The sequence below is a fragment of the Homo sapiens genome, chromosome 10 (assembly GCF_000001405.40).
Source record: "Homo sapiens chromosome 10, GRCh38.p14 Primary Assembly".
NCBI lineage: Eukaryota > Metazoa > Chordata > Mammalia > Primates > Hominidae > Homo > Homo sapiens.
The window spans coordinates 30,556,284-30,566,495 of record NC_000010.11 but is presented as its reverse complement, the minus strand read 5'-3'; the positions used below and the strand labels follow the sequence as shown (position 1 = coordinate 30,566,495).

General features: G+C 43.7%; 1 annotated feature.

Annotated features, from left to right (window-relative positions):
- Positions 6,849-7,428: an enhancer, noted in NCBI's record as "H3K27ac-H3K4me1 hESC enhancer chr10:30847997-30848576 (GRCh37/hg19 assembly coordinates)". NCBI's record gives its function as "activates a minimal SCP1, AML or CMV promoter by ChIP-STARR-seq in naive H9 embryonic stem cells {active_cell/tissue: H9 hESC(naive)}" and the evidence as "EXISTENCE:reporter gene assay evidence [ECO:0000049][PMID:30033119]".

Sequence of the window (10,212 nt, the reverse complement as noted above, 5' to 3'; positions counted from 1 at the left end):
AAATGTTCAGAACAGCATTATTCACAACAGCACAAAGTGCAAACAACCCAAATGTCCATCAACTGATAAATGAAATGCAGTGTACTTGTACAATGGACTGTTCAACAATAAAAAGAAATGAAGTACTAATAGATGCTGCGATATCAATGAACCCTAAAAAATTATGCTAAGTGAAAGAAGCCAGACACAAAAGGCCATATATCATATGATTCCATTTGTAAATGTCCAGAATAAACAAATCTGTAGAGACAGAAAGTAGATTTGTGGTTGCCTAAGGTTGAGGGAATTGGGGGAAAGTGGGGAAAAGACTATAAGTACATACAGGGTTTCTTTTGGAATGATGAAAATGTTCTAAAATTGATTGTGGTGATGGTTGCACAACTCTGTGAACATACTAAAATCATTGAATTGTACTCAAAATAGGTGAATTAAATGGTATGTGAATTATAGCTCCGTATAGCTATTATTAAACAAATGGAATGGTAACAGCATAAATTTTTTAAAAGCAACATAAAATTACACCAACTATATAACAACTATATAGAAATTCAACAAGGCATGTAGCACAGATAAAGAATGGAACACCTAATAGTGAGAAACAAATTCACCCCTCCAAACCCAAAGAACGAACTCAGAGACCTGGAGAACAGCAAAAGTGAGATTTTTAAGGACAGTCTTGCAAGACTGGGTATCTGATGGGCAGGTACACTTAGCACAATTGCAACAAGCAATTTATCCCCTAGTGCACAGGTCCCTCCCCCAGTTCCTTATAGGCTGAGTATCATGGGGTCACAGTCTTCCCAGATGTCGCCTATTGGTTGTTGGGTAGGGGTTGTAGGTGTTTTCTTCAGGGTTGTCCTGCTGCATTTTGTTGCAGCCCATAATATGTTGCAGTCTTAATTAGCTCTGGGGCTCTCCAAGTATTTGACTTACGACCTAAGTAGCTGGGCAGGCTGATAAGAACAGATGAAGCAAGCTATTTTGCAGGCTAGTAAACTTTCATCTTAGACTAAACTTCTTGGTTTGGGTGAGGGCAGCTAAGGGTGGGGAGGACAAGCAGGTGTCGGCTATCCAAGCAGGGGTCCTAGTATGCCCCGTTTCTTCCGTAGTTTGTTGCTTCATAATTCACTTCACTATTATATATTTCACTATCATTTTCACTATTATATTAGGTGTAAATCTAACTTTCTTCCCACAGCATTTCCTTGGCCTATCTGGAATGCCTCGATGCCAATTCAAGGCACTTTGCCTTGGAAAAGGATGTGCATTATTTCCTCAACTCCCTCCTCTTTTTCTTTTTACTCCTATTGGTCCCAATTCCAGATTTATTTTTGTGTCCTTTGCTCCTCAAATCATTTCAAGAGCTATTGACTCTCTTCATCATAAGAGAGTAGAACTGATTTAGTTTCTAATAATAGTTGACATGTTATGGGCATTTGTTTGTTGATGGCTGTTTCCATTAATTTGGGGGTTAACCCTCTAACACAGGGGATAGTGCGATGGCCTACAGCTGTTAGGACTCCAGCCACTATTGCAGGGGATGTTAGAATGGAGGCTGCCATTCCTTTCCATTTCCTGAACTAACTTTCTAGCCAATCAGTAAATGGGTCATCAATTCCAACATTTTCCACCAATTCATTGACTAGAACAATTAACCCTTGTAATGCATTTGTGATGGTTCCATCTGGGGCAGTATTGTTAGGAATTAAAGTGCAACACTTTCCATCCAGCATGATGCATACGCCCCCTTTCTCTGCTAAGATCTTATGCAGTGCAAGTCTGTTCTCCCAGGCCATTTGGCTGGTGGCATCTAACTGGTTAGCCACTCCCTTGAGAGTGTATCGAGTATAGCTGATGAATCTTTGTTGATTATAATAGATGTAATTAATCCAATCCACGTTTTTATTAGTAGTTGACCACCAGAAGAGTGCTGATTCAAACCCAACAGCTATTTGGTTTCGGGTCTTAAATTCATCAGGTACTCCTCTAGGAACTCCTGTTGAGTCAATATAAACGTTGGGATCAAAATAATTTGTTAGGTCTCTCCGACTTCAGTGGCCATGTGGATTCTTGGGAATCTTACAGAATGCCAGGATGAATGGAATGGCCAGTTGAACTAAGGCACAAGTGCAGATCCAGTTGGATGGTAATAGGTCATGGAGGTCCCTCTTTCCACAATACCACCAGACATCAGCCCGGGGTATATGAAGAGCTGAGCAGTTGCCTTTGTTTGACTCACCAGTAATGTTTAGGATGTGGGTACAAGTCGAGGGTTCTCCCACAGGCTTATTGAACTCTGCCCCCTGCCTAGAGAGGCAAGAGGAGTGGTTCATATACCCTATGGAGAATGAGGGGATTGCTCTAGGGTCTGACCTCCACAAGGCAGTAAAGAGCAATGATAGATTTTGCAAGTCTCATTTCCCTATGCATCCCTTTCCTGGTATAGAGCCAACATGCAACACATTCCATCGGGATTGGTATCCCATCCTGGGGCAAATGGAACCACCTGTGCCTGAGGCTGCCCAGCAGAGCATGCGGAACAGTCACTCTTATGAAGAGCTAGTACCAAAAATCTGACCCATTCAACCCAGGCATTTACATTCCCATATCCAGTCTCAATTTCTAAAGTCTGCCTCAAGTCAGTTACCTTAATTATTTTTACTCTCTTAGGGTCATTGTCTGGTTAAAGGAAGTAGTGGGACTGGGAGTTATAGTAATCCTGGGTGGGCTCAGAGTAGAGTTGGTGACTAGCCTAAGAGCTAACCATCCTATTGGATCCCTTCCTGAGGTATCTATTCCTGACCCATACCTCTAAGGTTCCTGGTCTAGAGTAGCTGGGTTGTTTATGGTAATTAATATAGGATTGCATTCTACATTTCTACAGTCAGGTGACAGGGGGCCCCTATACAAATGTATTTTCTTCTTAAGGGTTTGTTTTTGGAAGAATGGCTCAGCCTCGAAATTGGGTGGTCCACCAGACCTCATTCCAGCTAGCGCAGGGCTTTCCCCAATAGCGACCTGTTTCAGGACATAGATGTTTGTTTGCTTGTGACAGCTGCCTTTGGTTCCCTAAATTCCCACAATGTACGACTTAGGAGGCATCAAACTTTATGGTCTAGGGGGTGGAGGTTCTAGTTATGTTGACTACTAGTTTGATTGGATATTCTTCTACCGGGCTCCATCCAATAATTGTGTACCCTCTCACCCCTGGTAGTAGGATTAATCCTAACCACATCCACCCCCAGTGATGGAGCCTGCTCATAGCTTCCTTCCAGGTTTTCCTTAGAGTTAATTTTAAGGGTTCCTTAGGTGATCTATACACTTCCCATTCACCCTTTTCCCTTCCTTACGGGAGTTCTTTTACCAGTCTCTTGACCTGAGTGTAATGTGTTCACACCTTTCAGCTGTTCGTAGGCTGTGTCAGTGATTAGGAGCACCCGATAGGACCTCCCCAGCTTGGGTGGAGCTTGTCTTCTTTCCAAGTCTTAATCAGCACTGAGTTGCCAGGCTGGAAGTGGTTAACCATGAACTCAAGAGGCAGGGTTTGAGTCAGGAGTCCTTTGAACCTCAGGGATGACAGGGAGGAGGATATGCTCAGTATATAATTTCTTAAAAATTGGTCTTTGGTTTCCATAGTAGAAAGGCCAGTAGTCCTACCTAAATACGGGAGTCCATATAATAGCTCGTAAGGAAAAAATCCCAAGTCTTTCCTTGGGGCCGTCCTAATCCTAAGGAGTGCTATTGGGATCCATTTGGTCCAAGGCATTTTAGTTTCTAAGATTAGTTTAGTAATATGCTTTTTGAGAGTCTGATTCATTCTTTCTACTTTTCCAGAGGAAGGGGGATGCCAAGGAGTGTGGTAATCCCATCTGATGTGTAAACCTTCCATAATTCTCCTTAGCACCCTTGAGATAAAGGGGCTCCCATCATCTGAATCAATATTTTCTACTAGGCAAAATCTGGGTATAATTTATTCTAAGATTATTTTGACCACATTCCCTCAGTGGCAGTTGGGAGGGTGTGGTCCCGGGACGTGCACTCTGCAAGCTTCGCTCCGCCCGCCATGCTGAAAACAGACTACGGAGAGGACTGGGAGGGAAGGCAGGGAGACCTGTCAAGGGGATACTGTGGTAGCACAGGTGAGAAATAATCACGGTGAAGAGGAACCCTGTATGGTAGGGGAGTAAGTCCTCCAAGGCAGTTCTCGATATTCTATGGAGCTAGCAGGGCTCAGGTGCTCCAGAGAGCCCACCCAACAAGGTAGCTATGAGCATGGGACATCCGCACCCACCTTGGTCTGTAAGTCACACAGCTGGGATGTGAAGCCTGGCTCGGATTCTGTGCAGCCGTGTGATCTAGACAAGCTACCAGGCCTCTCTAATCATCGTTTTCGTCTATAAAAAGGGATCGGCCGGGTGCAGTGGTTCATGCCTGTAATCGCAGGGTTTTGGGAGGCTGAGATGGGTGGTTCACGAGGTCAGGAGATCTAGACCATCCTGGTCAACATGATGAAACCCTGTCTCTCCTAAAAAACAAAAATTAGCTGAGCGTGGTGGCACGTGCCTGTAGTCCCAGCTACTCAGGAGGCTGAGGCAGGAGAATCACTTGAACCCGGGAGGCAGAGGTTGCAGTGAGCCAAGATCACCCACTGCAATCCAGCCTGGGCCACAGAGCGAGACTCCATCTCAAAAAAAAAAAAAAGGGGGGGGGGTGGGGGGGCGGATCAGAGCTCATATCATCACGATGTTTTTGAGAGAAATACACAAAAGAGGAAAGCACATCGTCCATGCCCAGTAAATCATTGCATTCTTTCAAACGAAATCTGTATTCAACCAACATTTCCCGATTAGGTTCTCTCCCAGGCACTGTCTCCCTTTTCCAGGTGAGGCCAATGAAGCCCAGCTTTGGGATTCAAACCTTCAGACTCACAGGGACTTTAGAAATATCAGTTCAGAGATCTCTAGCTGCAAAAGTTCACAATGATACTCACCTCTTGAGGACTCATTTTTCTTTAACTGTAAATAAAGAAAACGAATCATGCATTTATTCTGCATTTTCTATGTAAACTGTCCCTCAGGGTAGCCAAATAGTTGATGAGGGAAAGTTTCTTTTTAGAAGTATTTTGACTAATAAATGAAGAAGAAATGATAGAATAACATCATTTTGCAAATCCCTATGACTTAATGGATTGAAGCAATGACTATCAATGGCTGCTGAAGTCACAAAAGAGAGACAACCAAGCAGTGTGCATGGAAAGACCCCACGCCACCAGGGGAAGTTTTTGCTAAAAAAACTGAACCTGAATCTAATCAAAATCCTGGATCTACCTACTGATTTACAGAATACACGTAGGAGAGAAAAGCTGTGATAAATAACCCTACAGCACGCAATGAAGAAAGTCAGACCACAGAAATTCTGCAACGCAAATGCCCAGTTCCTTCAACGAAAAAAAAATTGCAGTGAAGGAGATGGGGAAGAGGAGAGAGAAGAGGAGGAGAAGGAAAGAAGGAAGAAAGAGAAAGAGAGAGATGGGAGAGGAACCTACAGATTTTTTTAAAAATGTTAAAAACTTATGGGGCCCAGCGCAGTGGCTCATGCCTGTAATCCCAGCACTTTGGGAGACCAAGGTGGGTGGATTACCTGAGGTCAGGAGTTCGAGACCAGCCTGGCCAACATGGCGAAACTCCCTCTCTACTAAAAATACAAAAATTAGCCGAGTGTGGTGGCATGTGCCTGTAATCACAAGTACTGGGAGGCTGAGGCAGGAGAATCATTTGAGCCCAGGAGGTGGAGGTTGCAGTGAGCTGGGATCACACCACTGCACTCCAGCCTGGGCAACAGGCAAAAAAAAAAAAAAAAAAAAAAAAAAACAACTACTTATGGATTTTACTTAGGTAATGATTCAAACTGTAAAACTTTAAATTATAAGAAACCCAGGGAAATACATAAACATTCAAGATATTTGCTGACACATGCAATTATTAATATTACAGTTAATTTTTAAAATGTGACTGTGGTATTACTATTATTTTTAAAGGGTCTTTTTTTGAGACTGGGTCTCACTCTGTCGCCCAGGCCAGAGCACAGTGGCAAAATCATAGCTCACTGCAGCCTCGAACTCCTGGGCTTAGGTGATCCTTCTGCCTTAGCTTCCTAAGTAGCTAGGACTACAGCTGACAGCCACCACTCCAAGCTAATTTTTTTTTGTTTTTGTAGAGACGGGGGTCTCACTATATTGCCCAGGCTGATCTTGAACTCCTGGCCGTAAGTATTTTTTAAACTTAAATATTTAAGATTAAATATTTAATATTTATTTTTAAATATTTAAGTTTAATTTTAAACTGAAATATTTTCAGGCAAAATGACAGGATGCAGAGTCAGAAGCAGCGGGGAGAGGGGCGAGATTGGCAAGCATGGAGGAGGTGATAAGATTGGCCTTGTGCCCCTGGTCCATGGTGTTAAAAGGAAGGTCCTTACTTTGGGAGGGATATTGACTAGAAGTGGGCAGAGAGAATCCTCCAGGGTGCTGTGACATTGTATCTTTTGATCTATGTGCTGATTAAATAAACTTTTTAATTTGTGAAAATTTACAAGCTATACAACTATGATTTATGCATTCTTGTATACCTTTATAATTTTATGTTCTTAATAAAAACTTCACTTACAAAAATTGGCCATAAGTCAATAATAGTTTGAGCTGGGTGATGGATACATAGGAGTTATAAAGACAATTATCTATGTTGACTTGTGTTTTAAATTTCCTATTAGAAACTAAAATTTTTATATTGTTAGCAGCAGCCAATCTGCACAGGTCTGCAGCAAGTCAATTCTTTCCTCCTCAGAGGACAGACTTCATCCAAGGGGCATAAGGCACAGTGAGAAACCAAGGCAAGTTTTACAGCAGGAGTGTAAATTTATTAAGAAGTTTTAGAGTAGGAACAAAAGGAAGGAAAGTACACTTGGAAGAGGGCCAAGTGCGCTGTTTGACCTTTGACTTGGGGTTTTATACATTGGCATGCTTCCAGGGGGTTGCATCCCTTCTCCCCTGATTCTCCCGTTGGGATGGGCTGTCTGCATGCTCAGTGGCCTGCCAGCACTTGGGCGGGACCGCATGCGCAGTGTGTTTAGTGAAGTTGTGCATGCCTAATTGGTGCGTTCTTCCCTTACCAATTGAGTGTTCCTAGAGGAAGGTCATAAACCAGGTAAACGCCACCACTTTGCCTGTTAGTGCTCATGCTTGAGCCCACTCGCCCAACTCCTGGGATCTTACCAGGAAGCTGATCACCAGCTTCAGGTGTTTTCTATCTGTTCGGAGCCTGCCTTTCCCTGGTGCCAGCTGCAACCAATTATTATTTTAGAGCGATAGTTTAACAACTGCCTGATGGGCCGGGCTCGGTGGCTCACGCCCGTAATCCCAACACATTGGGAGGCAGAGGCAGGTGGATCACCTGAGAGGTCAGGAGTTCGAGACCAGCCTGACCAACGTGCAGAAACCCTGTCTCTAATAAAAAAAAAAAAATACAAAATTAGCCGGGTGTGGCGGCACACGCCTATAATCCCAGCTACTCGGGAGGCTGAGGCAGGAGAATTGCTTGAACCCTGGAGACAGAGGTTGCTGTGAGCCAAGATCGCACAATTGCACTCCAGCCTGGGCAACAAAAGCAAAACTCCGTCTCAAAAAAAAAAAAAAAAAAAAAAAAAAGCCGAGTTTAGTGTGGGGGCGCCTGTAATCCCAGTTACTCGGGAGTCTGAGGCGGGAGAATCGCTTGAACTCAGGAGGCGGAGGTTGCCGTGAGCTGAGATCGCACCACTGCACTCCAGCCTGGGCGACATATGGAGGCTCCGTCTCAAACAAAACAAAACAAAACAACTGCCTGATCATCACCTGATAATCGCTTGACACTCCTGGGGGAGTCGGGCTATATCCTGGCCTGCTCATGTCTGCTTAGCTACCTACTCTAACAATATTAAGTAGTATGTAAATAAGATTTGGCACAAATTTGATCTTAAAAAATCAAACTAACAAGGACAAAAATAATGTATCGCTTCTCGGCCATTTGGCTAAGAACAAGTGCAAAAATAATTTTATTTAACACAATGTAAGTTAAAATCATATCCATGCACTAATTCTTAGAATGAATGAAATGAATCCTGAATAGATCTATAGCATCATTTGCTGCACTTTGATTGTTTGCTGAATTTTCACAATGAATCCATAAAGTGGGTCATGTTTTGCTCAGAGAGTTTCATCCTTTTCTCTGTGGGCCTTCTGTAATTCTTTGATACCTATGGTAAAATCACATGCTTCGAAACAACCTATGACATCATCCTTGTGGAATTTTCTCTCCTTCTATTGCTGACTTGGTCTAACTCTGCCAGATCCTCATTTGTCAATGACATTGCAGATTCTTTGAGCCATTCTCCAAACATCAATTTCAACACTTTCGTGAAATCTCACTTCTTTTGCAAGATTTGAAATTCTCTTTGTAGGCCGGGTGCGGTGGCTCACGTCTTTAATCCTAGCACTTTGGGAGGCCGAGGCGGGCAGATCACCTGAGGTCAGGAGTTCAAGACCAGTCTGGCCAACATGGTGAAACCCTGTCTCTACGAAAATACAAAAATTAGCCAGGCATGATGGCAGGTGCCTGTAATCCCAGCTACTCGGGAGGCTGAGACAGGAGAATCGCTTGAACTGGGGAGACAGTGGTTGCAGTGAGCTGAGATCATGCCACTGCACTTCAGCCTGGGCGGCTGAGCGAGACTCTGTCTCAAAGAAAAGAAAAAAAGAAAGAAATTATCTTTGTAGTAATGTTCATTTTGTTTGGGCCCTGCTTGTGGAATTTTGCAGCATCAAGCAACAGGAAAATGGAGACCCACAAAACAGTGGGTGGGGACCAGTTCTGCTTCTTTAATTTTAGATAAGGAGAAAATGCCTACATAAAACGTAATAAAAATATGTGTTTTTTTCTTTTTTTTTTTCTTTTTTTTGAGACAGGATCTTGCTCTGTTGCCCAGGCTAAACTATAGTGGCACAATCATAACTCATTGCAGCCTCAAACTCCTGGGCATGAGTGATCGTCCTGCTTCAGTCTCTCAAGTAGCTGGAATTACAAGTGCACACCACCAGGCTTGGCTAATTTTTTATTCATTGTTATTTTTGTTGAGACAGAGTCTCGCTCTGTTGCCTAGGCTGGAGTGCAGTGGCACAATCTCAACTCACTGCAACCTCTGCTTCCTGGGTTCAAGCAATTATTCTGCCTCAGCCTCCAGAGTAGCTGGGACTACAGGTGCGTACCACCACGCCTGGCTAATTTTTGTATTTTTAGTACAGACAGGGTTTCACCATGTTGGCCAGGATGGTCTCGAGCTCTTGACCTCAGGTCATCTGCTCACCTTGGCCTCCCAAAGTGCTGGGATTACAGACGTGACTCCCTGTGCCTGGCCTAATTTTTTATTTTTTTAGAGATAGGGTCTCACTATGTTGCCTAGGCTGGTTGCAAACTCATGGCCTCAAGACATCCTCCTGCCTCAGCCTCCTGAGTAGCTAGGATTACAGGCTCAAGCCTCCATGCCTGGCCTAAACTATGACTTTAGAATAAAAGTGGGGAGAGATGAGCTAGCTCTGACTGATTTTATGTGTGGTCAGTGCATTCCTGAATATTTTCATGCTGGTTAGATTGGGCTTCCCTCAATACACTGGTAGCTGCAGGAACTCAGATAATATAAAAAAACTTAGGCTGAGTGCGGTGGCTCACTCCTGTAATCCCAGCACTTTGAGAGGCTGAGGCAGGCAGATCACCTGAGGTCGGGGGTTTGAGACCAGCTTGGCTAACATGGTGAAACCCCGTCTCTACTAAAAATACAGTTAGCTGGACATGGTGGCGCATGCCTGTAATCCCAGCTACTAGGGAGGCTGAGGCAGGAAAATCGCTTGAAACTGGGAGGTGGAGGTTGCAGTGAGCCAAGATCATGCCATTGCACTCCAGCCTGGGTAACAGAGCAAGAATCCATTTCAAAAAAAAAAATCATAAATACTTATTGAACAAGCACTCCTATGTCAAAAGCAGAAGAATCCACTTGCCCAACAGGATTAGCAAATGATGAATAATTTCCTGAGTTTTTGAGGAATCTGAGCATGCAGTGTATAGCTGTCTCCTACCTTGCTAAGTTCCCAGTCTCTACAAAAACAGGAGGCTTTTCTTCTCCCCCTCA